At 49.4% G+C, this 27,384-nt stretch overlaps 1 protein-coding gene, 1 non-coding gene and 1 pseudogene across 14 annotated transcripts, besides 2 other annotated features; 2 read left to right on the top strand and 1 right to left on the bottom strand.

Annotated features, from left to right (window-relative positions):
• Positions 1-1,753: 1,753 nt before the first annotated feature.
• BTNL9 (butyrophilin like 9) lies at positions 1,754-23,009 on the top strand. Of its 13 annotated transcripts, none has more exons than XM_024454380.2 (11): positions 1,754-1,920; positions 6,955-7,086; positions 9,415-9,759; positions 11,576-11,857; positions 14,688-14,804; positions 14,957-14,989; positions 15,727-15,747; positions 16,921-16,941; positions 17,477-17,503; positions 19,840-19,866; positions 20,638-23,009. In XM_024454380.2, the coding sequence occupies exons 2-11, from the start codon at positions 6,978-6,980 to the stop codon at positions 21,348-21,350; spliced, it is 1,695 nt and encodes a 564-aa protein (XP_024310148.1). In that variant the 5' UTR covers positions 1,754-1,920; positions 6,955-6,977; the 3' UTR covers positions 21,351-23,009. The 13 variants fall into 13 exon arrangements, with proteins under 13 accessions (XP_024310148.1, NP_689760.2, NP_001295174.1 ...); NM_152547.5 differs by having other exon boundaries at positions 20,725-23,009; NM_001308245.2 differs by lacking the exons at positions 19,840-19,866; positions 20,638-23,009 and adding exons at positions 18,026-18,150; positions 18,343-18,657.
• MIR8089 (microRNA 8089) lies at positions 4,891-4,972 on the bottom strand. The gene has a single exon (NR_107056.1). It is a non-coding gene; the product is annotated as a microRNA 8089 (primary transcript).
• Positions 7,370-7,897: a silencer, noted in NCBI's record as "fragment chr5:180472882-180473409 (GRCh37/hg19 assembly coordinates)". NCBI's record gives its function as "represses an EF-1alpha promoter that drives an FKBP-Casp9 reporter gene in an ReSE screen in K562 erythroleukemia cells {active_cell/tissue: K562}" and the evidence as "EXISTENCE:reporter gene assay evidence [ECO:0000049][PMID:32094911]".
• Positions 14,898-15,462: an enhancer, noted in NCBI's record as "H3K4me1 hESC enhancer chr5:180480410-180480974 (GRCh37/hg19 assembly coordinates)". NCBI's record gives its function as "activates a minimal SCP1, AML or CMV promoter by ChIP-STARR-seq in naive H9 embryonic stem cells {active_cell/tissue: H9 hESC(naive)}" and the evidence as "EXISTENCE:reporter gene assay evidence [ECO:0000049][PMID:30033119]".
• On the top strand, positions 26,643-27,168 carry RPL13P10 (ribosomal protein L13 pseudogene 10; annotated as a pseudogene).

Below are 27,384 nucleotides of genomic sequence, written 5' to 3' on the forward strand. Positions count from 1 at the left end.
TTCTCTTTCACTTCCCTATGTGGCATGCAAGGGCCTCTGCAATGTGGTCCCATCCACTTCTGTTCAACCTTCCCTTCCACTAGTGAGCCACACACTGGTCTGGCTAACCCCTAGCCTTTTCCTACCTCCCACATGCTAATCACCTCCCTCCACGAAGAATGTCTGTCCTCGCAGGCTCTGTCCTCCCGGGCTGCCCATGGCTTCCCTGATCCTACTGTTTATGCAGCATCCATCTTAAGTATACCCTGTCCTTGAGCCCTCCTCTGTCTCCCCAGGCCCGGGGAACTGCACCCACTGTTTGAGCTCACTGTTCAGCCCCTTTTGCTGTCCTAGGGACATCTGTTCACATTAATAAGCCTGGGTGCCCAGTCTCACCAGCCTGTCTGAGCACAGACAGTCACCTCCAGGTCCATGCCTGAAGCTTGCTGGCTCCCGTCTCCCACCCATGTAGCGCCCTGTCACCTGCAGAGGCCCCTCTACAAACACAGGCACTTCTGGGAGTCCCTGGGGTGTGCTACTGAGGCAGAAAATTTAAAAATACATATGCCTTCATTCACTCCAAGAAAAGTAACAGGCAAGGCAAGGGTTAAAAAGTAAAGGACAAGTTTTCCTCTGCCTATAGCAAGCCCACTGCAAGGACAGTTATAACAGTGTCCAGAAAGCCAAGGCCAAAGGAATGGGCTCCAGATACCCGCCGCCCCACTTCCAGAGCAAGGTTGAAGGAAAAAGAGAGAAAGACAAATTCTTTTACTGTTACTGTTTTCCCAGGCTTCTTAAGCATGATTGTGTTTTACAAATGTCTGTACTTAGCCAGTTCTTGTTTTTCTTTCAATGCAGCTACAAAGTCACCCGCTGTGCAAGGCCACAAGTTATGCTATGCTATAGATTATGTGACCTATCATGATTAGCTGCTTTTGTTTTATTTATTGTAAGTCCACTTACAAAAACCCCGCTCTGTCTTTGTTTAATGCTCAGCTTTTTGGATGTGAGTCCACTGAGCCGGTGTGTACCTAAAATAAACAATCCTCCTGTTCTTCACATCGGTCTCTCCGGTCCTCAGTTTCCCACAACACTGCATGTGCTTGAGCTGCTCGTGCCTCAGCTCTGGCCTGTTCCCTGGAGGGGACGTCAGTGTGGGCTGCAGCTGGGTGGCTGGTGCCTCAGTCCGCTAATGCCCAAGTTGCACCATGGCCTACAGTAAGATGGGGTGGGCTGGGCTGGGGTAGTGCTTGCTGCTTCTTTTCTGACCTCTTCTCCACTAGAGAAATCCCAATCCAGCACCCTCCTGCATTTCTAAGTTGCACGTGAACAGGTTTTGCAGGTTGCCTCACGACAATGCCCCCAGGATTTGTTCCTTACTGACCTTGTCCTGAGGAGAAGGTTATGGTGGGTTAAAAATTGGTCATCAGCCCCTTCCTCGTGGTTAGTTAGTGGAGACTGCAGTCTACTCTCTTTCACTGTTCGGGGACTGCTACCCTGCCTCCTTGGAGTCCGAGCTTCACTGGCACAAAGACCCTGAACCCAGCTGGAGCGTTTTCTCCTCACTTTGAGCCTCTGCAGCTGTCGCTCTCTACAAAGCTCTCAGATACCTTTCCCCTCCTTCTGTGACCCTGGAGAGATATTTTACATGGGAATTCAAGATTTTTCTCAGAGACAGGATGTGACGACTTCCTTGTTTTGTTCTATCCATCTTGGTTTCCATAGCCAAGGGCAGAGCAAACGGCATATATCTTAGGGTGGAAGATGGATAAATAATTCTGTCACACGTGCCCTGGCCTCTGGAGCTCAGCTGCCAGTCCACGTCTAGGGAATCTTAGCATCTGGGACCAAGACACTTTACAGCAATCATCACCCTTTGCAGAGGAGGTGAGCTCACCAGGACTCATCTGCCATTTCAGACCTTTTGCTGCTACCTGCCAGGTAAGTGGCTCATTCTCAACAGCTGCCTACACCTCCATCTTTCAGAAACGGCAATCAGAAAATGAAGGTGGGAGGCTTTGGGAAGGCGTACAATTAGTGGCACCATTTTATTATCCGAGCTTGGCCGCAGCATGGGATGTTTCGAGTGTGGCCAAGAGGAGATGTCCACGCCCGTTTAGGTGGGCCGCATCTCAGGAGGCAGGATCCTGATACATCCCATTGCCCCCACCAGACGAAAAAGATTTCAAGCCTCATTGCGGTTCCCTTCTTGGGGCAGTCCATCTTCCTTAGAGACTAAGAGGGTGGAAATCCTCTTGTGGACCTATCGAAATCAAACCAGCGCAGGCAGTGAGCACTAGCTGGGGTCTGCCGGGGGGAAGGGCATTGCAGGGGGTGTCGGGGAGGCCCGTGGGAGAGGGCCAAGGCCCCACTGACACCTGCGGACTTGCAGCTTGGGGAGTGGAGGACAGGAGACAGGCAAAATTCACCAGTTACACAGCTTACAGAAGTAGCAAAGCAAAGACTATACTTCAGGGATAATTTCTGTACTTTGTTACTAGAGAAGTTTTCCACTCTGGGACCCCACAGTCTCCGCAGACATATGCAGAGCAAAAAATACTTCCTGTGTTTGGGAGAGCAAGAGACATGGCATTTATTAATAACATGGATTTTCCTGCCAGGTTTCATAACGTGGTCATTTAAGTGTGAAATGTAGTCTTAAAATTATGTTAGAGAATCCCCAAGGTTTTGCTCTGCCCCCATGGAAACACTGGGATCGCTCAGGACGCCAACAGCTGCATAGCAGGCGAGGGACTCCTGTGGGAGGACGTGGCCTGTGGACACTGCCAGGTTCGGAGATGTCCTTGGGAGATTTACTATTTGTCAGGAAGATAGTGTTAAGTTCAGGCAAATAATTATATGTGTGGACAGAATCTGAAATTCACCAATAGAGTAAGTAAGAGTGAGAGATTGTGAATGTGTAATACAAATGGAAAAGCAGGTTTTATTTTGTTAAGTTATTCACCAGGGAACCAACTGAAGTTCCTTCTAATCCTCTTTTTCTCCATTCTTGCTTTGCTGAAAGTTGGAGAAAAGGACATGTGTAGAGAAAATGGGATGCTTCAGGGTGGCTCAGAGGACACCAATCCATAGTGATTCGCCTGAGTTTGTCAGGTGGAAGCAGTGATTTTTAAGAGTCACTGATTAAAAACAAACAGTCCTAAGTGTATTAGGGAGATGCCATTTATTTGTGAATCAAAAACTTTTCTCAGTCTCTTAAATTATGGTTTTCCTGTAATAAGAATGATTTATATTTTTAGTGAAAAGTTGTTTTCCTTTCAAATACAGACTTTTTAAAAAGACTTAGTTTGAGTAAGTACCTTTTCATTTGATGCTTTTCTTGTGCCTAACCTTAGGAAATCCAGAATAGTATTTGACAGAAATTATGTTTTCAACTTGCCTTTGACATCTGTCCCACTGCATTTTGCTTTAAAATTCTTTATTTAACAATAAATTATCTAAAAAAATAACAGTAGCAAAGCAAAAAGTACTCATCTTTAAAGACAGACTCGACGGAGGGACCGGAAATCAGAAAAACATCAGGGTTGTTTAGGAATTGCAGGTGCAGGAGGAGAGAACAGGAGTGGGGCGGGCTGGGGGCAATGAGAGAGCAAGAAGAAAAGAAAAATAAAAAGAGAAGGAGAAGAAAGAAATGGGCTTTTGCTGGGTGCAGGCAGTGACATTTCTCAGGACCCCTTATTTCTCCCTGTGCCTTCCGGAGGGAGCAGCCCAAGGCTCCTGGGAGGACAAGCAGCACGTGCCCGCCGGCAGAGCTCAGCTCCAGCTGGAGGACCCCTTTGTGGTCCTTGCGCACACTGGGTTTTCCTTCTTCCCCAAATATCCGACGCGTCCAGTCCCTTACTCCTTCCCCAGGCAAAACCTCCTCACCAGGAACAACCTGAAATCAATTTACACTGTAATCAAAATAGCAGAGGGTGGAAAGTGTTTCCTTCGAGGAGGGGACTTACGCTTCAAGTAAGGATTGAGCACCCTGGATCCTTAACTGAAGAGTGAGGTCAGAAAGGGCGGACGCACAGCAGCAAACGGGGAGGAGGGTGCTGTCCAGGAGCCGCTGACTTTTCCCTTCAGGAAGCTGCCAGACCATCTCTCTCTGCTAAAGGCTTTCAAGATGATACCCTTGAGTGTTGGGAGCAAAGGGACCAGGTACCTGTTCCTCCTGGCTCAGAAGATGCTCTTGACAAAGTCTTAGGGAGACCTCAGCTTTAAGTTGTTTTATCTGGCAGCGGGATTTTAAATTTTGTATTCATTAGTTGGCTGGTTGGCTGGTTTTGTGGCTGGCACCGTGTGAGCCGGTCGCTTCTTCAGTGCCTCTGTGTGATGGCAGGTTAGGGTGAGTGTTTGGTCTGTGGCCAGCTGGTTCCTGAGACGGTCATGGTTTTGGGTAACAGGAGTGACGGAAGGGTGTACCCAGACACACGACGTAGCTGGTGAGGAATCTGAATTCGAGAAGTGCAGAGCGAGGCTCTGGAACCAGACAGTGGGTGGAACCCCACCCCACCACTCACCCACTGTGTGCAGGAGCAAGTCACTCAGCTCCTGGGCCTCCGTTTCCTTATCTATAATTTGGACCTATTAGTAATAATAATAATAAAAATAATAATACTGAGGTATAGATAAGTGTTTGATAGATAGGAAGTACCCAATGCATGTTAGTTTTATTACTGTCAGCACGTGTGTGTGTGTGTATGTGTCTGTGTGTGTGCATCTGTGTGTGTGTCTATGTGTGTGTCTGTGTGTGTGTGCATGGGTGTGTCTGTGTGTGTGTGCATGTGTGTGTGTCTGTGTGTGTGTGTGTGTGTCTACAATCCTCCTCCCCTGAAGATTCCATGATGGGAATCACACGGGTGTATCACAACAGAGAACTGAGGTCCCTCTAGCACTTCCACGGTTCTGGAACATCCTGCCCCAATCCCCTGTCCCCAGGAGGTGGCAGCCTGCCCCCAGTCCAGGGAAATTGGAGTGAGTGCTCCTTCTGTGAGAAGGCCAGCTGTGGGACCTGTCTCGCGCCCCATTACCACCTTATGAGCAGACCTGTGTCACAACCTAACACAACCTCGACTAATTCCCCAGAACCCAACCCATCTGAATGGATGCATAAACACACCCTGAGCCCCTCTTGGTTTTGGAAGTTACTAGCTGAACACTGACGTGCCCCTCCTGGTTTTGCTGTCATGGAGCTCTAACCTGTGTCTAGAATCCAGAAGAAAAGACTGAAGTATAAAGGAAAAGAGAAGGGAACAGAAGAGAGGGTGAGAAGGTGCACAACCAGTGTAGACCCCTTTGCTGGAACCCTTCCTTGCCAGCTTCCCCACCTGTCGCAGAGAGGCTTCCACCAGTAGCCACAGAGGGTGAGAGTCTGGACTGTCCAGCCAGGGCCTGGACCCTGCCCGAGGCCTCTGCCCATGCTGGTTATTGTGTGAATCGTGTTCCAATAACTGAGAGGTGTCAACACGGCCCCGCTTCGGGGGGACCCCACCTCCTGTCCTTGAACCTTCTTGAAACACACCTGGAGCTGTCCCAACCTGTCCTCTGTTTGTCCCCTCAATTTTAGCTCTAGGAGACAGGGCCATCAGCCCATGCGCCTCACAGGCCACCCCTCTTCCCTTGTATTCCTGCCTGTCTGGGTGCCTCCTAGCCTAAGGGTCCCTGGGGAGCCTCTACCACCTCATTAACTCACCCTGCACACCTCCTCTGATCCTTCTGCCTCTGCATGGCCCAGCAGCTTTGAAAGTCCTTCCTTCACACCTGCTGATGGTGTTGCTGACAGTGTGGCCAGTGCCCTGTGGCCACAGGACACCGGAAACACCTGCCATGCCAAGGTCTCGGAAGAAAAGCCAAGCCGTGGGGGCCGACGGGGAGACAGAGAGGGTTGGAGAGAGGAGCCCACCGTGGCCTTCCAACAAGGGCACTGTGATGAAGTGAAAGGCAAGGGGTGCAGTCCCAGGACGAAGACAGTGCGTGGGCGTTGGGAAGGCAGGGGGAAGGGAGGTGCTGACTTTGATTTCAAGAGCTCCTAGCAACCCATGGGAGTGGGCATTGGTTTCTTCCATGGTTCAGGCAGAGATTTCGGTCCAGCCAATGACAGAATCTGCCTAAAATCTTGCAGAACTAAATGCAAGAGAAATATGGAGAGTTTTGTGTATCTCCAGAGACTCATTGGCAGCAGCACACTCTCTGGCCGTGAGTCATTAGTGGGTCCCAAGGGAGCAGAGCATCAGGAGTGAGGGGGTAGCCCTTGTCTGGGCCAGGTCTGGGCCTCCTGGGTCATAGATGAGGAAGGGGTGGCTAGATGGGATGACTCCATCACTGTAGCCCCGAAGATGCTATCGACACAGAGACAGTTACCAGCTGGCCTCCTGAAGGCACAACTTGAGGTCCCAGGCCTGGAGGAGAGTGTCCTAGGATGTCGTTGGGGCTGGCAGGCAGCCACCTGCATGCACTCCACTTCTGAGAGAGCAGAACTCTGTGTTTGTTCCTCTGTTTTGCGGACTCGATGTTCCAGACCAAAGGGAAGTGGGACGAAGGTTGGGTTGGTGGTGGTGAGGCAGGAAGAATGAAAATGCATCTGAGATCTTCAGAGATTGCCCTTTGTTTGAGGAAAGTCGCTAAGCCCAGAAAAGGGGGGGCGCTGAGCCCCCACACATTGTGTGGCTCTATTCCTGGCTCTAAACAATAAGCAGCACAGAAGCTGCTTCCTCTGGGATCCTTCAGCCTCGTCCCCTTGCAGCTCTGTGAACCTGGGCAAGGCCACGGATGCCATTAACAGTGTCCCCTGGGAAAATTAGAAGCAGCTCTCCCCTCTGGCCATGGAAGAAGCCAAGCGCTGAGGCTTGTAAGGAATTTGAGAACTAGACAAAAATAACTGAGGCCACAACAGACTTCAGGTCTGATGGAGTGAGTTCCAGCTCCCCCTACCTTTGCACGTCGCTCCAGCACCCCTTTGTCCCTCTCCAGGTGGCCCCCACTGCTGACGAGAGATGGTGGACCTCTCAGTCTCCCCAGACTCCTTGAAGCCAGTATCGCTGACCAGCAGTCTTGTCTTCCTCATGCACCTCCTCCTCCTTCAGCCTGGGGAGCCGAGCTCAGGTATTGTGTCTGCAGCCTAGCTGGCCAGGATGTGAACGCCACCCCTCCTGCCAGGTGCTCCCCAGGGCTACGATCTTAGCACAGTACCAGGGCGTGCCAGACGCTAAAATACAAAAAAGACTTCCATCCTGGTTGTTAAAGAGCCACTACCCCGAGCATTACCCAGCCTGTAGTGATGTTCCTCCACCATCTCCCCAGCCCCCGACACCTCCTCCACCATCTCTCCAGCCCTCAACACCTCCTCCACCATCTCCCCAGCCTGTAGTGTTCCTCCACCATCTCCCCAGCCCCCGACACCTCCTCCACCATCTCCCCAGCCCCCAACACCTCCTCCACCATCTCCCCAGCCTCCAACACCTCCTCCACCATCTCCCCAGCCTCCAACACCTCCTCCACCATCTCCCCAGCCCCCAACACCTCCTCCACCATCTCCCCAGCCTGTAGTGTTCCTCCACCATCTCCCCAGCCCCCAACACCTCCTCCACCATCTCCCCAGCCCCCAACACCTCCTCCACCATCTCCCCAGCCCCCAACACCTCCTCCACCATCTCCCCAGCCTCCAACACCTCCTCCACCATCTCCCCAGCCCCCAACACCTCCTCCACCATCTCCCCAGCCCCCAACACCTCCTCCACCATCTCCCCAGCCTGTAGTGTTCCTCCACCATCTCTCCAGCCCCCAACACCTCCTCCACCATCTCCCCAGCCTGTAGTGTTCCTCCACCATCTCTCCAGCCCCCAACACCTCCTGCACACTTCCCAGCACTCCGAAATCCACAGGCATAGCAGGGAGCAGAGCAAGACGGTGCCAGGAAACTCACTGGCCTGTGTTTGTGCTGAACCCATTGATATACGTTTTTAATTTTACCCCTTGCAAATCTTCTCTCATGAAAGATGTAGCCAACAGAGGGTGCAAACTAATAATTCAAAGGTAATTTCCTAATTTCCTGGGCTGGAAACCAGGAATACCAAGGTGACTGCAACATAGCCCAGGTCTTCAGCAGTCTGTAGTCAAGGGAGGGGTGTGGATGTGGCATAAATGGCTGTCCATTTATGTGACCATGGCTGAGAGAAAGAGAGAGAGCGAGAGAGAGAGAGAGCGAGAGAGAGAGGGAGAGAGAGAGAGAGAGAATTGTGTCCAAAGACCTTGGGAGCACAGCTAAGAGCAATGATTTGTTCCCGGAAAGCTGAGGAGAGCCGTAGAGTGGGAATATAGTTGGAGCAGAGGCTTACAGGATGCACGTTCCCCAGGAAGTTGACAGGTAGGGGATTAGCTGAGGTAGGGTGTGCCCAGGGAAACAGTCAGACATCGGTGTGTGGAGAGAGACAGCCGGAGAGAACCTGGAGAGGGAAACTTGTAGGAAGGGTATTGGATACTCACCCAGCGGGCAATGAGGTGCCTCAAATAGTGTGAACAAAGGAAGGTCCCTCCATTTCCTGTGGGCCAAGTGCAGGACAGGGGTGTCCATGACAAGAGAGCTTTGGGATGGAGTTTTAGCTGAACTTGGAAAGAAAGGAGAGGAGAAGTACAGAGGCCAGAGAGAAGAGTGAGTGCCTGTGGGGTGGCAGGGAACCGTGCGTGCGGAAGAACTGTGCAGGAGCAGCAACTCTCATGGGAACTGCAGACAACAGACCAGACCACAGGGAGCAGAGAGGCCCCATGAAGAAGCCGTCAAAGAGGAGGGTGATCAAATGAAAGATCCCAACAAATGAGTCTCAAAGGAAGGATTTGGTTGGCCTTTTGATAAGAAAACCTGTGGAGCAGGAAGCCCTCATGGATGATTTTTGATACCCTTTGTAGAAGCTGTACATGTGAATTATTTTTTAAACTTGGAAAATCAGACAAGCAAAAATGAGAAAATATCTATTCTCATCATGCAGAAATTATCACCATCAGCAATTTGATGTCTCCTTTCAGGTATTTTTCTCTGCACATTTATGCAAATACGTATGTTTTTTACTTAAGATAATATTCTACAGATTATTTTGACACTTGCTTTTTTGATCAAAGATTCCATTTCGCTTAATGCCTTGGTCATATTTACATAATTGTCCCCAAAATAACATTTGTACCTGGTTGGATGAAACCAGTTACCAGCTCAGCACCACAAATCTGGTTGTGATGTCACCTGTGTATTTGTTTAATCGTGCACTCAACGTTTTTTCGTAAAAATTACTTGTTCAAGGATCTAGGCCAGTTGTCCTGTAGAGTATCTCACCTTTCTTGTTTTTATGGTTTACTGTAGATTCCTCAGCTATAAAGGGGTGTGATAACTTTTTTAAAAATTGGATGAGGGTTGCTTTTGCCTGTTCTGACTTGTCATCCTAGAGGTCAAGGTGCTAGGCCCTGAGTATCCCATCCTGGCCCTCGTCGGGGAGGAGGTGGAGTTCCCGTGCCACCTATGGCCACAGCTGGATGCCCAGCAAATGGAGATCCGCTGGTTCCGGAGTCAGACCTTCAATGTGGTACACCTGTACCAGGAGCAGCAGGAGCTCCCTGGCAGGCAGATGCCGGCGTTCCGGAACAGGACCAAGTTGGTCAAGGACGACATCGCCTATGGCAGCGTGGTCCTGCAGCTTCACAGCATCATCCCCTCTGACAAGGGCACATATGGCTGCCGCTTCCACTCCGACAACTTCTCTGGCGAAGCTCTCTGGGAACTGGAGGTAGCAGGTGCGTGGACTGACCTAAGGCCCTGCAGAGGAGAGGGAGATCCAGGTGCTTTGCCAAGTAGAGGTGGAGTCACAGAGAACAGAAGAATGTCGGTGATTTTTAAAAAACATAAAAGCTGATGGATAGGTCCATTCTCAAATGAACAAACAAAACAAACAGTTCACCAAAAAATACACAAATAGCCCTTAAATATATGAAAAGGGCCGGGTACAGTGGCTCAAGCCTGTAATCCCAGCACTTTGGTAGACCGAGGCAAGCAGATCACTTGAGCTCCAGAGTTCGAGACCAGCCCAGGCAACATAGGGAGACCCCATCTCTTAGCCAGGTGTGGTGGTGCGTGCCTGTAGTCCCAGCTACTCAGGGGGGTGAGGTGGAAGGATCTGGCTGCAGTGAGCTTGACTTGCCACTGCACTCCAGCCTGGGTGACAACTCTGTCTTGAAATATATATATATATCTATATATATATCTATCTATATATATAGATATAGATATATATAGTATGCTATATATTAATTATATAGTTATATATTATATAATTATATTAGTTATATAATATTATATAATTATATTAGTTATATAATATTATATAATTATATTAGTTATATAATATATCATATATATGATATATAAATATATATAATATAAAAATAATATATATTATATAATATATATAATATATAATATATTGAGTAACAAAATTACTCATAGTGAGAGAAAGGCAAATCAAAGCTATGTCAAAATGCAATTTTTTTTTAACTGTCAGACTAGCAAAATTTCAAAAGCTCTTCCATGTACTGTTAATGGAGCTATGGAGAAGAAAGCTGTCTTATACTATGTTAGTGGAATTCAAAGTTGGAAAGCTCCCGGACAGGGAAATTTGGTAATACTTAAGAGGACTAGCTGTGTGGCTACCCTCTGACACAGCAATCCCACCTCCAGGAACTTACTCCACCTCCGATACCTCCAATATGAAAAAAGCATATGTATGAGTTTAATCTTTGTAAAGCTTTTTAAAAACAATTGCAAAATAGTGGAAACCACCTAAATGTCCAAGCATAAAAGCTGAGTATGCTCTATCCACCCAATGGAGTAATCTGTATTATGCATCTGAAACAATGATGAGGTGGTCTCTGAATGGATGCAGAGTGATTTCTAGTATTGTTAAGAGAGAAAAGTAAGATGCAAGGTTCGATAACATACACTTGCTTTGTAAGAAAGAAGGAGAAACATTGCAAAAGGGAACATAGGAAGGATAAACTAGAAGCTGATGAGATTGGCCGCTGAGGGTGAGGTGTGATGACGGGAAGGATGGCGCTTTTTTCCTGATACACATTTCTGTACAGCATTGGCATTTATGCCACATTAATGTTTTGCATACTCAAAATATAATGCTAGTTCCACAAGGATGGAGAGATAAGGGAGTGTGTATAATGCAGGCACTAGAGCTCTGGGGGAATTCAAGAGAAGGAGAAGAGTCACAACTCTAATTATTAGAATTTAGGGTGCTGCTATTCTTCATTCTAGGGAAACTGTCCCTTGCCTAACATGATTAAATGCCAGGAGCCCTTCCCCACCCAATGACCCCCTTCACATTTCCAAATGTCCCTCAGGGGCATTACTGTCCCCACATGCTACCACTGATTTAGACTGTCATTTCCCGTCCATGGGCGGGGAGCGCCAAGCCCACACACGTCTTAATAGCAGTCACACTTCATGATGCTTTATGGTGACTGCAAATGCTGAACAGTGGCAGGAATGTTATGCGTGATTTCTCAGAAGAAGCCTGACCTTTCCCACTCCTCCTGCCTCCACCAGGGCTGGGCTCAGACCCTCACCTCTCCCTTGAGGGCTTCAAGGAAGGAGGCATTCAGCTGAGGCTCAGATCCAGTGGCTGGTACCCCAAGCCTAAGGTTCAGTGGAGAGACCACCAGGGACAGTGCCTGCCTCCAGAGTTTGAAGCCATCGTCTGGGATGCCCAGGACCTGTTCAGTCTGGAAACATCTGTGGTTGTCCGAGCGGGAGCCCTCAGCAATGTGTCCGTCTCCATCCAGAATCTCCTCTTGAGCCAGAAGAAAGAGTTGGTGGTCCAGATAGCAGGTCAGTGGCTGTTAGCTCACACCCATCTTCCTAGTCCTCATGTGTACATACACATTGGCCCAAAGGCAGTCTATAAAGACACAATGGTACTGCGCCTGTCTGCATATAGGGTGTGTTGGCCTTGACACCTGAAAAGTCAGCACCTTGGATATTAGGAACACACTAAGAACGCTACTGAGAACCCAAACAGTCAGTGAGAGAGGCCCCAGAGAGCCCGCCTTTCTGTGCCTAAGGCCATACACTAAAACCCATCAACTCTGCTCATCAGAGGCATCATGGGAGCCAATAGATTCGTAATGCTGTCTCTCAAACAGTATGTATTGAGTTTCCACAACGTGACCCCAGTCCCTACCCTCAGGTCCCCATGCCAGTGGGGGATACAGACAATAAGCAAAAGAAGTGCATCCTGTCACATCACGTTAGAAGGTGGTAGGTGCAGCCGGGTGCAGTGGCTCACGCCTGTAATCCCAGCACTTTGGGAGGCCAAGGCGGGTGGATCATGAGGTCAGGAGTTCAAGACCAGCCTGGCCAAGATGGTGAATCCCCATCTCTACTAAAATTACAAAAATTAGCCCGGCATAGTGGCAGGCGCCTGTAATCCCAGCTACTCGGGAGGCTGAGGCAGGAGAATCGCTTGAACCGGGGGGCAGAGGTTGCAGTGAGCCGAGATCTGCACTCCAGCCTGGGCAACAGAGCGAGAATCCGTCTCAAAAAAAAAACAAAAAAAAAAAAAACAAGAAGAAGGTGGTAGGTGCCGTAGAGAAAAATGAAGCAGGCTGAAAGCAGTGAGGCATGTCCACAGATTACAAAAGGCACGTCCAGGAAGTGGGCGTGTAGGCAGTGAGCTGAAGGCAAGGTCATTATTAAAGTCTTATTATGAGGCAGCCACTGAAGGGTTTCAAGTTCATGGTTCTAATTGTTTTACATTTTAAGGACAAACCCAACATACGGGCCACTTTTCACACGAGTCCAAATCAAAAGCTATTTTATTATAACAGAAAAAAACTCCCCCTTTGATATAGTCAGTCAGATACAAGCCAATGCACACATGTTCTCAAGATAAATGATAACTTGTCTGCAAGTAGGAGGACCTGGCAACACCGCTTACCACAGCAGTTCTAAATTCCGTGGGAATTGGGATGGCCATCTGTGTGAGCCAACTGTCTTTAACCAAAGGAAAAATCAAGCATGTGATACGTCTAGGGCATACAACTTGGAGCCACGCAGCTAAGCTAAACTCCCATGAGACAGGGATCTCCACGGCAGTGCTCTCTCTTTTATGTTTACATTTCAAACAAGTGGCCCTTAAGGAAAACATTATTGGGTTGTAAAGAAAGAACTGATATATTTTCTAAGGAAAATGAACTAAGAGAGGGGAAGAGGAAAGAGTCTCTCTTTTTGCACCAGGAAAAACCCAATATTTTCTTTTTAGCTTTTAATATAAATCTTAATTTATATTATTGATATTTATTATGAAACAAGTTTATATAAAAATTTTTAGATGGGTAAATGTTTGCATGCGCGGACCCCTCTACAGAGGGCGTGACTCACATGGATACCTTTGGGAAGGCATTCTGGTGGCGGGAAGGGCAAAGCCAGGGGCCTGAGAGGGAAACTGCCGGCTGCTGGCAGAACAGCGAGGAGGCCAGAGGGTCGAGGGGGAGGGTCACAGGTCAGAGAGACAGTCCGCCCTGAGCCCTTGCCCTTGACCCCAGGCCATTGCTTCAGACACCATCTGTTGTGAGGACCAATCCATTGTGACCCAGTGTTTTTGTACCATACAATAAAAATGCACTGCTAGAAAAACAAAATTAAAAACCACAGTCCACTGATGTCACTTATAAGCCAGACACACAGAACAAATGCCGTCTGATTCCACGGATGTGGGATTACCTAGAGGAGTCAAGTCCACAGGGATGGAGAGTATACGGAGGGCGCCAGGGGCTTGGGCGTGGGAAGAGGAATTACTGTTTAATAAGTACAGAGTTTCAGTTTTGAAAGATGAAGAAACTTCTGGAGATGGGCGGGGGTGATGGTTGCACACGACATGGTGAATGCACTTAATGCCCCTGAACTGTACACTTAAAAATGGTTAAGATGGGAAAGGTTGTTACGTATATTTTACTACAATAAAAAGAACATTTTTTAAAGATCTGAGATAAAAGCACCATTTTCTAATAACTAGATGACACAGACAGAAAGTTACTCTATTCAACCGCCACAGGGTTTGCGAAGGGCCGGTGGGTTCTGCGCGTCCCTGCGCCGCTGGTGCTGTCGGCGCTGCCCCCGGCCACGTCCTGCCTGCGGGCGGGTCCTCCCTGGGGAGCCGGGAGGGACGTGGGAGCTGCGAGGCCGCGCGCACGTGGTTCGGTTCTCACTTCTTCCAAAAGCGTGGTAAGAACCGAGGGAGAAGCCGGATGTTTGCAAACAAGCGAGGAGACGACTTGCGGACCAGACGGCGCGGGTGCGAGCAGGAGCTCCCCGGACATCCGCCGCCAGCCAAGCCCCTGGGACCCTCCCGCCTGCGGACGCGGGGCGAGGGCGGGAAGACGCGGGGCGAGGGCGGCGCTGCGGCCGCAGAAGCCTCGAGCCGGGCTGGGGCGCGGTTCCCTCCCGCACGCCCCGCGGCGCGCCCCCGCCCCCTCCGCCGCGCGCGCCCCCGCCCCCTCCGCCGCGCGCGCTCCCGCTCCACGCCCGTTTCCCAGGCGGCTGCGGTGGCGCCCGGAGAAGGTCCCGCGGGAGGTTTCCCGGCACGCGGCGGGCAGGCCGGTCTCGCCTCTCGGTGCTCAGCGGCGCCTGGACCGACACGGCCCCCGCGGGTGTTTTCCAGACGTGTTCGTACCCGGAGCCTCTGCGTGGAAGAGCGCGTTCGTCGCGACCCTGCCGCTGCTGTTGGTCCTCGCGGCGCTGGCGCTGGGCGTCCTCCGGAAGCAGCGGAGAAGCCGAGGTACCGGCGCGGGCGGCGGGGCGGGGAGGGGCACCGGCCGGTGCTGAACCCCGGGGCCGCGGAGGCGCCTCCCCCCAGGACGCGGCGCGGGAAGGCGGCCTGGAAGGGGCGGGGGCGCGCACTCAGCCCTCTCCGCTCCCGTTTCCCTTCAGAAAAGCTGAGGAAGCAGGCGGAGAAGAGACAAGGTGAGCGGGGACAGGGCGTTCTGCACGCACCTGCCCAAGTGCCAAAACCCGCCGTCATCTAAAGGCTGTGGGTCCCGTTACGAGGGTTTATTCCAGCGCGAGGTGTCAGGGCGGCCACCGGGGAACGGGGATCGGTGACCCCGGTGGGGAAGGGGGAAGATCGTTCATATGGACAAAAGCGGAGGTGCGGAACGGCTGCATTTTCCACGGAGGCTAGTGCACAGATGTCAGGGTTGACCGGCTGCTGTCGTTACGCCCTCGGAGCTTCACATCACACTGTACAGAGGGAGCGGTGACCAGGGTCTCTGCTGCCAGCGCCACCTCGTCCAGGTTTTCATAGCGCACAGGGAGTCGGGCGGATGCGCAACATCTCCGCACAGGGTCAGGAAGCGGCGGTCAGGCACCGAGAAAACAGCCCAGTTACGTGAGGCAGTGTCCGGGGCTTAACGTTTCCGCCGAGCTAATAGATTTGGGAGGCTCCGACCCTGATTTTCACACTAGCAGGAGGGAGGGCGCTGGGTCACCCTCCTATGCAGAAGGGCAGCCAAGGGTGCGCACTTCCCCATCCCCTGCCTGGAGCCTCACTTCCAGCCCAGCCTGGGCCCGCAGACCACCGCGGGTGGGAGTGCCGCATCGGAGGTGAGGCCTCAGTGTTCACCCATCTGTTCTGTCTGCCTCATTCCCCAACCTGAGAGTCTTTCCCCTTTTCTTCATCTTTTTTTTTTTTTTTTCTCTAGAGAAACTCACTGCAGAGCTGGGTAAGTTCTGGGTGCGGGGCCACAGTGCTGCCTGTCAGCCGGACCCTGTGCCTGTGCAGTGGGAGGAGGGGCTCCCTTTGGACAGCGGCTGGCAACTATCTAATTCTAAACCATCCCTGTGAGCCTCCACCTCTTCCCTTGCTAAGGGGCTGAAAGGATGGCTGCCTGCCACCGTGCAGCTGCCCGAGACCCTCTGCACAGACCCTGCCAGCTCCTCCCCTGCAAATTAGACAATTCAGTTAAAATTCATCATAAAACGTTTACTGTCTCCGGTTCATCTTCTTAAAATATCCTTTTCTTTTTAATGCAAATGGCACTAGGAAGGGTGGCACCTTTAATTTGCACCAAAATGGAAATAATTTCTCAGATCCACTTTTCTCCCCAGAGGGACTCAGAGACGTGAAACCATGGGATGTGTCTCTGTAGAGAGGAAGAGAGAGTGAACCCAAGGGAGGGGGAATGGAGGAAAAGGCCATCATGGTGTTGGGGTTGGGGGGGCAATTCAGATGAAACTGTAAGGTTGGGAAAGCTTGTCTGGCAGTCTACCTCGCCCTTCAAGGGGAATGAGAAAAACATAGCCCTAATAAGTCATTAAGGCTATAGTCTGAATTGTAAGTCATAACACTATAGCATGAATGCCTCTCCCAGGAGCATTTACTTTTGAAAGAGCTTGACATTGGGTGGACAGATCAAAGGAATGCATTTTTAGTAGCAAAATGTTGGAGTCCTTGGTAATTATTTGGGGAAATAATTGGGTGTGATGTCCTTCCAGTCCTTCAGATAACGCACCCGGTGAGTGACCGTGAGGCTCACGTAGGCGGCCCTCAGTGCCTGCACTTAGGCGGGAGCTCCGCCCCAGGAAGCTTGTGATTTCAGGCAGAAGGAACAACCCCAACCCTGGGAAGAGGCCTGTCAGTACTAAGATCTGGTATCCCTTCTAGGCTGTGTGCAGATTTCCACCTTTGAGCTAAGATAGGATGAGGCATAAGAGTCCTGCAGATGGGCCTCTTTTTGAGGGCAATGAAGGGGCAAAGAGGAAGCTGTAAAAAAAAAAAAATGAAGCTGTGATTAGCAGTGGCTTAAGACTAAGGAAGCTCTTCCCAGTGGCCTGTCTTGGGAAGATGGTTCCACCCACCTGCAGGCTGAAGTTTTCTTTGTGTGTTCTGCTTGCAGAAAAGCTTCAGACAGAGCTTGGTAAGTGACCCCTCTTAGAACTATTTCTCCTCAGGGCCGGGTCCAGTGGCTCACACCTGTAATCCCAGTACTTTGGGAGGCCGAGGCGGGTGGATCACGAGGTCAGGAGATCGAGACCAGCCTGGCTAACACAGTGAAACCCCGTCTCTTCTAAAAATACAAAAAATTAGCCCGGCGTGGCGGCATGTGCCTGTAGTCCCAGCTACATGGGAGGCTGAGGCAGGAGAAGGGCGTGAACCCGGGAAGCGGAGCTTGCAGTGAGCCGAGATGGCGCCACTGCACTCCAGCCTGGGCGACAGAGCGAGACTCTGTCTCAAAAAAAAAAAGAACTATTTCTCCTCATTCATCATTTTGCATCTGATTCCCCATATATCTTCTTCTCATCTCCCAACCAGGTATGATGCCCAGGCAGGACCCCTGCTGGCTATGTGGGTGGTGGGGGGTGCGGGACAGGGTGGGTGCAAGATGTGATGTGTGAGCAGGGAAGCTTGGGGTCCTGATGTGCTAATTTCCTGTTTTCCCTTGGTTGCTTCAGACTGGAGACGGGCTGAAGGCCAGGCTGGTGAGTGGAACCCATCTCTCTCTGACTCCTCCTCATTTATATCTGAGCACCCCAGTCCAACTCACCTGATTAACCAATCAGGCTTCATTCTGGTTGCATTCCGTGGCCTCACACAGCATGTGTTAATCTATGTCACTGGGTAGAGGTCATACTCTGTCCTGAGGACTAAGTGTACTGCAAACCACTAGTTCCAATCCTGGTTACATATCAGAGTTACCTCGACTCCTGGTGCCCATCCTCCAAGACTCAGACTCATGGTTCTGGCATGAGTGTGTTGCTGTACATGTAAATACTTCTCTGCATACCTCCCTCTATTCACCCATAATGCAGACAGTCTAATGTATATATTTTGTATATATTCTTGCAAAATGTGAATATCGATGTATGCATATGCATCTTAGTTCATGTAAGTGACATTTATGGTTCTGTGATGTTCCTTGCTTTTCCCGTATGCATCATCATGCTTTAATATCCATCGCTGCCACTCGTGTGCATTCAGTCTGTTTTTCCTCCTTACTGCAGAGTGCTTCGTTTTAGCCAGCCACCCTCCTGGAGAAGGTATCCAGGCTGCCTCTAACTCCACAACAACACTGAATGCATAGTCTCAAACGTGTTGCCTTACGGCGCTGTGTGGAGATTTCTCTGGGGTATATAACTAGGAGGGGGACTGCTGGCCCATGGTGGGTATGTCCACTAAGGGGATAGTGGGATCCCAGGAAGGCAGTGTCGTTATCCTGCCACCAGCCATGCAGTGAGATTCCATGTGCCCACATCTCATGTGAACCAGCATTCCAAGTTTGCCAATCAGTGGGGATAAGTGATGGCTCATTGTTCTTTAGGTTTGCAACCTCTGAATGCTGAGAAGATTGAGCATCTCTGTATATGCTAGTTGGCTCTGGGGACTTCCTCTACTGAAAATTGCCAGCTCACATCACTGACCCATTTTTCTTATGGGATGGCTGTCTTTTATTATTAACAGGAATATTATATATCTGTGTGTGTGTGTGTGTGTGTGTGTGTGTGTGTGTGAGATTAATCCCTCATGGGTAAACATCGTGAATTCCTTCTTCTGTTGTGCCATCTGCCATTAGCTTTGTCCATAGTTCCCCTTATTGAAAAGGAATTATTAATTTTGATAAAACATAATCCATCAACTTTTTCTTTATGGTTTGTGTTTTTGAAGTTTTGTTGAAGACCTTCCTCACACTTAGGTCACAAAGATTCTCTTACACTTTCTTCTATTTTTTTTTTCTTTATGTAACTACAAAAACCTTTCAACTATCTTTATGTTATATTTGCATCTTTAATCCCTCTAAAATTTGCCATTTTATGAGGTGTTGGGTGAGAATCCTGTGATTTTTCTCCATATAGTCAGTTGGGCTTACCAACGCCATTTACTCCACCATTCCAGGGCTGCCACTGATGTGGGGAACCACCTTTGATGCATATTGGATTCCCATCTCTATATGAGTTTGTCCATTGGCCACCTATTACATCATTGTTTTTACTGCTATGGCTTTTGTAGTAGCTGAAAGTACAAGTTTTCCTTCTCCATTTCCACTTCCTTTTTTAAAGTGAATGAACATTTTTAAAATATAAATTTTAGGATAAATTCATAAATCTCCCCAAAAAATGCAAAAGGAGTTTTACATAGGATTACTTTGAACTTACAGATAAACTAGGGAAAATCAACATCTTTGTAGAACTGAGATATTCCACACAAGAGCTAGGGTGTTTAAAGCTTCACCAGTTATCCTGACGCAAAACCGGGGCAGCAAAGCCTTGCTGTAAATATCTGGAGCTCTGAGAACGTCTTGTGTTGCTTTTGCTTTTGTGACTTGGTGATATCTTTGTTGCAAAACAAAACAAGATAAAACACAACAGAAATCCACTCAGATTGATTCACATTAAGAATGGAGGCATGCCAGGAAAAGACAGGACATCTGGAGGGCATCTTTGGGACCCGTCAGGCTCAGCTGGGCCTCCTGGGCACAGCCTGGCGGGTCAGAGGCTGAGGCTCCACTTCTGTCTCTCAGGGCATCCAGGCTGCTTATAGAGTCTCTTTACCTACATGCTCCACTCTCCTGCTTTTTCCAGCAGAATTTCAGCCTGCACGTAGCTCTGGTATCAATGACACAGGCCTCTACTCAATCTAAAATTTCTCAGGAAAATACATGGTGAACCCCAAGACCAGTCTGGATTCAAACCAGTTGTCACAGTGGGAATGGGGTCATTCGATCTGCATGCATCCCTCATACATCTGGAGACTTCGTTAAGGTTCCAGAGTTACTGACTGAGATTTCTGAGCTTTTTTCCCCTTTTCTGTTTGGTTTCAGAGTGGAGAGCAGCCCAAAAATATGCAGGTAACTGAAGCCAGGAAACTGATTTGTGTTTTGGTTTGGCCGGATCTTAAACAGAAGGGAGGTGGAGAGATCTGAGATTAGAGGACGGGGCTTTATAGGAGCCAAGTATGGGGCCTGCACACACAAGACACACACGCACACTTGCAAACACGCCACACGACACATATGCCTGCATGTGTATGCACACACATGCACACGTGAGCTCCCAAACACATCGCTCCTTGGGGTTACACTAGGTTTGTTTCCATCTGGCTTGAGGCTATTTGCAGGCGAGAGTGCAGAGTCTGTAATGAACCTCCCAGATTCTCTGACGAAGGGGTCCCCTAGGTTCCCATCTGTCAGATGGCATGGGGTGTTGAAATGTGGGGCACTGGACTAGATGATCTCAAAGGTCCTTTTAAAATCCTTTTAAAAACTTTTCTGAAGGACTGTATGTAAAAAAAAAAAAAAAAAATCCAAAATTTCTGTAAAATGACGCTCAGCGCTCTCCTGATTATGCCAAGGTCACGCAGGGTGGTGCCACCAGCAGGAACTAGAACCAGCCCATAGGTCCTTCCCCTTGACCGGGACGTGGCTCCCTCCCCGCCAGCCTACTTCCTTTGCTATCTCTGGTATGGAATTCAGGGACCTTCCAGTTCAGGAAAGGACAGGATTCCTTGTCACTATCAAACACTCAGGAGTGACTGACACATGCCACTTCAGTCCTGGGGAGGGGGTTTGCAGGGGTGAGGGTCGGGGTAAGGGGTTCATTTCCTCGATTATTCCACCAAGAGAAACGAGAGGTTTGTCCGCCTTGGGGAAGACACGGACGGGGCCCAGACCGTCCCGGGCGGGCACTAACGCTGTGGCTCTGCGCAGTGGATGTGACGCTGGACCCGGCCTCGGCGCACCCCAGCCTGGAGGTGTCGGAGGATGGCAAGAGCGTGTCTTCCCGCGGGGCGCCGCCAGGCCCGGCGCCTGGCCACCCGCAGCGGTTCTCGGAGCAGACGTGCGCGCTGAGCCTGGAGCGGTTCTCCGCCGGCCGCCACTACTGGGAGGTGCACGTGGGCCGCCGCAGCCGCTGGTTCCTGGGCGCCTGCCTGGCCGCGGTGCCGCGCGCGGGGCCTGCGCGCCTGAGCCCTGCGGCCGGCTACTGGGTGCTGGGGCTGTGGAACGGCTGCGAGTACTTCGTCCTGGCCCCGCACCGCGTCGCGCTCACCCTGCGCGTGCCCCCGCGGCGCCTGGGCGTCTTCCTGGACTACGAGGCCGGAGAGCTGTCCTTCTTCAACGTGTCCGACGGCTCCCACATCTTCACCTTCCACGACACCTTCTCGGGCGCGCTCTGTGCGTACTTCAGGCCCAGGGCCCACGACGGCGGCGAACATCCGGATCCCCTGACCATCTGCCCGCTGCCGGTTAGAGGGACGGGCGTCCCCGAAGAGAACGACAGTGACACCTGGCTACAGCCCTATGAGCCCGCGGACCCCGCCCTGGACTGGTGGTGAGGCGCCCTCGTGGCCGCGGGACTGGCCCCGGGGGGCCCCCTGGATCCCAGGCCAGCGCTTTGCTCTCCTGCTCCGTCTGAAGGGAGCAGGTGCACCAGCCAAAATGTCAGCGAGGGGGACAAAGAGAGGGACCTTTGCCTACGTAGATGTGTATGTGTAGTGCGATTTTCTTCAAGGAAAGGAGACAAGTCCAAAGCTCGTTTGTGGATTGTGGGACTGAGCGAAGGAGTACAAATATATCCACGTCGCTCAGAGCTGGGGTGCTCACGGTGGGCGGTGGGCAAGAAGCCAGCATGGAAGAAAGAAGGGAGAAAACTTTGGTGACTGCCTTAGAGGGATCAGTTAATTTGTATAGTTTTATATTTTTTGTATATGTTTGCTAGCTCTAAAAAGGTCGAGATGCAATAACACTTCGTAAGCAACGAGTTCACCTAAGTAAGGCTCAGATCCTAGTTTTAAAAACCATTTCCCATTAAAATGAAGTTGGAGGAACAGCTGCTTCTGGAGCCGGGGCAAAAATTTCAAGGTGAGCCTGGAGCATTGTGTGTGGTGAAGTAAAATAAAGGCTCAAAACGTGACGGCAACCCGGCAAAAGGGTAGGGAGCCAGGCCGAAGGGGCCTCACTGACCAATTGTGGGACAATTTGAACATCAGGATGAATAATGACAGGAGAGATTATAACACACTGAATAAAAACATAATCCATGAGTTCATGCTGATACTCAAATTTCTTTTTAAAAAGGAGAAACAGGAAGGTTTCTTTTGGAGGTGAAATCTAATTATTGGTGAGAGTCTTGGAGAACAGGCTGTTTCCAGTCTCAAAGCAGTAACCTTATACACTACTTATAAGTTTGAAAGGGGAAAGGTTACCTTTACAATGGAGACATCTACCAGATCATCCAAGTGATTAAATTTAACATCATCAATGATGGGACCAAGGACATTATTAGTTTGACAACTGGGGAAAGAAGTGTTCTTCACCCCCTACCCCCAAGACATTGTCTCTGTCGGCCAGGCTGGAGTGCAGCCTCAACCTCCTGGGTCCAAGTGATCCTCCCACCTCAGCACACAACACCATGCCCAATTTTAAGTGCGTTATAGAGACGGGGGTCTCACTTTGTTACCCAGGCTGGTCTCAAACTCCTGCGCTCAAGCAATCCTCCCACCTGGGCCTCCCAAAATGCTGGGTGTACAGGCATGAGCCGCTGTGCCTGGCTTCATTTTCAGAGTGAGACATTTGTACTGTGGCTATGTAGGAGAACATTCTTGTTCTTAGCAAACATACTGAAGTTTTTAGATATTAATTACCACAGTGTCTGCCACTGAATTTCCAGTGACTAAGTGGAAAAATATAAAACATATGAATATAAAGAAAGAAAGAGACAAGTCAAATGTAGTAAAATGACAACACTTGGTGACTCTAGGTGACTGGTCGACAGATGTTCATTGTACTATCAATGTGGCTTTGCTGTGGGTTTGAAATTTTGCAAACTAAGAGTTGGGTGGCGGGGAGAAGGATACACCAAAAAACTAAGTGATTATCTTTGGATGGGAAAATGTTTGGTAATTGCATTCTTAAAATGTCTTCTTTGTATTTTTTAATGTTCAATAATGTATATGTATCAGTTCTGTAATAAAGGGGAAAACACTTTTTTTAAATACTCATATTCAAAATCATTCATTTGAAAGGAGCTATAATGAAACTGCTGGACGATCTCCTAGGCCATTGTTTCAGAGTAAGTAAATATGGCTCTCATCCCCTTCCCCTTAATCCAGGCAGAGCTTTCCTTGCCCGTCTTGTTTGAAAGGGGGAATGAGGAAGGGAGACTGGTCCGCAGCCAAGCTTTCTAACTGGTCTTTCCTCCTTCTTCCCTCTTTCCCTCTCCTTTTCTTTTCCTCTTCATGGGGACTGAGATTTCTACTAGGGCCTTTAGCACCAGGATGGGAACGGATGGGGCAGGGACACCTCTGGGATGAGCTTTCGCCCCACAGGCCCGGGAGTTCGGTTACGTACCAGAGGGAGGTGGCACAAATAAAAAAATTCACTAAGTGGCGCTGAGAGTCGGGAATTCACTAAGTGCGCTGAGAGTCGGGTTTCGCTGTCAGTGAAGGGAAATACGAAATACGGAAAGGGGAAAGGAGAGGATGAGGGTGACTCTGAGGTGGACTGGAATGAGATGTATCAATGTGAATGCGTGGGTTTTACTGCATGTAGAGAGATGGAATGCACGCACACACGTGGACAGATACACAGATATGTGTGGGTGCATGCAGATCGTTCCCAGCTCTGTCTTGTTTGAAGGCTTAGCAACAATAACACCCCAGTACCAACGGGCACACCGAGACCCAGAACTTAGTTTTTAGTACGATTTTCAGTAAAAGGAATAAAGTCTCCTTGGAGAAATGGTTGAGTCCAAGGCTGGGGCAGGGAAAATACAAGGAGAGCCTACAATATCCTACACCAGAAAATAAGGAAGTAGGTTGCACAGAAGAGCCATGTCGAATGGATTTAGACGTCAGAATGGATTTTGAACCCCTGAATCAAATAGGAATCCATATGTATATTTCCCCACTGATATACATACATACATACATACATACATAAACAAATTCATGGAGAGAAGAGAAAGCTCTGCCCTACAATAGGAGTCTGAAAATATTACTTCTTAACTCATAAGTACAAAACACGTACCAATTAACTTTACAGTGGAGGAGGCTGGCAGGCGCCACCTTAGCCAAATGACAAAAGTTAACATCACCAGATGCGAAAACAGTTTACATCACATTCTTCCTGATACAATGCAGAATACAAACGGCATCACTTTTGAGGTATTCCTGCACCCAAAAATGCATAAATCAGGAGGAAACATCACAGAAACTGACTGGTACTCTTCAACAATGTCAAGGTCATGAAAGACGGGACAACACTAAGGAACTGCTTCAGACTAAAGGAAACAGGACAACTAAGTGCAACAGGTGACCCTGGATGGGATCCTGGATCTATAAAAAACATCACTGGGCCAGACAAATTGGCTCAGGCCTGTAATCCCAGCACTTTCGGAGGCTAAGGTGGAATGATTGCTCGAGTCCGGCGGGGGGAGATTATTGGGGGAAAAAAGGGCATTTTGAAAGAGGTGTGTGGATTAGATAATAATATTGGATAAATGTTAATTTCCTCATTTTGATGTAGAAGAATGCTTTTAAGAAAATGCACACTTACATATTAAGGGGTAAAGGATTATGATGTTTATACCTTATTTTCAAATGGTTCATTAAGACATATAGTAATATAAACAAAAGAGAGAGAGAATGATAAAGAAATGCAGTGGTGTCTGATAAATGTTTAATAACTGGCTTTCTAGGCTGGGCGCGGTGGCTCATGCCTGCAATCCCAGCACTTTGGGAGGCCGAGGCGGTGGATCACAAGGTCAGGAGATCAAGACCATCCTGGCTAACACGGTGAAACCCCGTCTCTACTAAAAATATAAAAAATCAGCTGGGCGCGGTGGCGGGTGCCTGTAGTCTCAGCTACTCGGGAGGCTGAGGCAGGAGAATGGCGTGAACCCGGGAGGCGGAGCTTGCAGTGAGCCGAGATTGCACCACTGCACTCCAGCCTGGGCGACAGAGTGAGACTCTGTCTCAAAAAAAAAAAAAAAAAAAAAAAAAACTGGCTTTCTGAAAAAAAAAATATTGAGCCAATTTCCCTGGTGCAAGTCCTCCCACTATGGTTGATTTCAAGCTAAAGATGTGACACCACTGAGGGCAGACTGGGAAGTGCCTTAGTCAGCTCTCGCTGCTGTAACAAGATGCCACACACGGGGGAAGTGCCTTAGTCAGCTCTCGCTGCTGTAACAAGATGCCACACATGGAGGAAGTGCCTTAGTCAGCTCTCGCTGCTGTAACAAAATACCACACACGGAAGAAGTGCCTTAGTCAGCTCTCGCTGCTGTAACAAAATACCATACACGGAGTGGCTTGTAAACAACAGAAATTTATTTCTCACAGTTTTGGAGGCTGCAAGTCCAGGATCAGGGTCCCAGCACGGTCAGGGTTGGCGAGGGTTCTCTTCTGGGTTGCAAACTGCTGCTTTGCTTTGTATCCTCACATGGCAGACAGCAAGAGAGTTCTCCAGGGTCCGTTTATATTTTTGTCTTTTAAATTGAGACAGGGTCTTGCTATGTTGCCCAGGCTGGTCTGGAACTCCTGGCCTCAAGTGACCCACCTACCTCAGCCTCCCAAACTGCTGAGATTACAGGCATAAGTTACCTCATCCAGCCCCTACCAGGGTCTGTTTCTGTTTTTTTTGTTTGTTTTTTGTTTTTGAGACAGTCTCACTCTGTCGCCAGGCTGGAGTGCAGTGGCGCGATCTCAGCTCACAGCAACCTCCACCTCCTGGGTTCAAGTGATTCTCCTGCCTCAGCCTCCAGAGTAGCTGGGACTGCGGGCATGCACCACCACACCCAGCTAATTTTTGTATTTTTAGTAGAGACAGGGTTTCACCATGTTGGCCAGGGTGGTCTCGATCTCTTGACCTCATGATCTGTCCTCCTCGGCCTCCCAAAGGACTGGCATTAAAGGCGTGAGCCACCCAGCCTCTAACAGGTCTGTTTTTACAAGTGCATTAATCCCATCATAAGGACTCCACCCTCATGACCTAAGCACCTCCCAAAAGTCCCACCTCCTACTACATTGCATTGGGTGTTACGATTTCAACATGTGAGTGGGGCATGGTGGAGAGGGACACATTCAGACCATAGCAGGAAGAGACACCCATGATCAGCTCTCATGAGATGCCAGCTCCAGAGACCATTGTTTGTGCAATTCTAGAGGGAGATTGTAATTTGTTTCTCCATCAAGTCAGATAAGTGCATTTTAAGCTTATGAAAATATTCTTGGTCACCTGTTGGGAGAAAGCTATTCCCCTTAATTAACACATGATATTCAGAAAATGGAAGTTTTTTTTTCTAGAGTCATTTGCATTAGTGTGAGAATATTTAGGGTTCTTACTCATGAATGTTTTTGTGATAACATTAAAAATATGTTCCCTCTCCATCTGTAGCTATTATTCCTTTAAGACTGTATTTATGTGATAAATAAGAAAAGCAAACATACAGCTAATATAAAAAACAATGCTAAACTGTGTTTAAATAATCAGTGGACACCATCAGCCCACTTTAAATGATGGGCAGGCTGTTTTCCAGTGCAGGAGGGCTGTAGGCAGCCAGGGGCCCCAGCTGGAGTGGCATTAAGTTCAAACCCCTCTCTCACAAGGGCTGACAGCGGCACACAACCATGTGGCTCAACCAGCCAGCCAAAGATCCCGTCACCCCGACCCCCGTTCCTGGGCCCATCCAGCCCATAGTAAGGTGTCTCGTGGTAAGGCATCATACCAAAGTAGGCAGGGTCTGCAGCTTGGAGGAGCTAAGGGTAGCTGGCATTCACAAGAAGCTGGGCCAAACCATTGGCATCTCTGTGGAGCCAAGATGACAGAACAAGTCCACTGAGTCCCGCAGGCCAATGCACGGCACCTAAAGGTGCATGGGACCAAACTCATCCTCTCCCCAGGAAGCCCTTGGCCCCCAAGAAGAGAGACAGTTCAGCAGAACTGAAATTGGCCACCAGATTGACCAGACCCGTTATGCCCATCAGGTATGTCTACAGGAAGGAGAAAGCCTAAATCATCACCGAGGAGGAGAACTTCAAAGCCTTTGCCCCAAAGCCTTTGCTAGTCTCCACATGGCCTGTGCCAACACCTGGCTCTTCGGCATATGGAGAGCTGATGCAAGCTGCAGAACAGGATGTTGAAAAGAGAAAATAAATACCCTCCGGGGACTTAAAAAAAAAAGGGGGTGGGAGGGTCCAATACCCAGCCTTAAACTGAGAGAGACCTGAGACATTCAGGTATACATTTTGTGAACCATGAAGGCCCCGGGAGAGGCTGCCCAGAAGGCTGGAGCATGCAGAGTAAAAACCCACGTTTCCCTCCTGCAAGCGGCCCCATGCAAGTGTATACAAATAGCACATGGTGGATGTC

The sequence above is a fragment of the Homo sapiens genome, chromosome 5 (assembly GCF_000001405.40).
Source record: "Homo sapiens chromosome 5, GRCh38.p14 Primary Assembly".
Lineage (NCBI taxonomy): Eukaryota > Metazoa > Chordata > Mammalia > Primates > Hominidae > Homo > Homo sapiens.

Bases quoted from the DNA above. Each gene is read 5' to 3' on its own strand.
- BTNL9 (XM_024454380.2), top strand. From the start codon at position 6,978: ATGGTGGACCTCTCAGTCTCCCCAGACTCCTTGAAGCCAGTATCGCTG. The intron at 7,087-9,414 runs GTATTGTGTCTG...TTGTCATCCTAG, and splicing joins GCCTGGGGAGCCGAGCTCAG to AGGTCAAGGTGCTAGGCCCT. The intron at 11,858-14,687 runs GTCAGTGGCTGT...GGTGTTTTCCAG, and splicing joins GTTGGTGGTCCAGATAGCAG to ACGTGTTCGTACCCGGAGCC.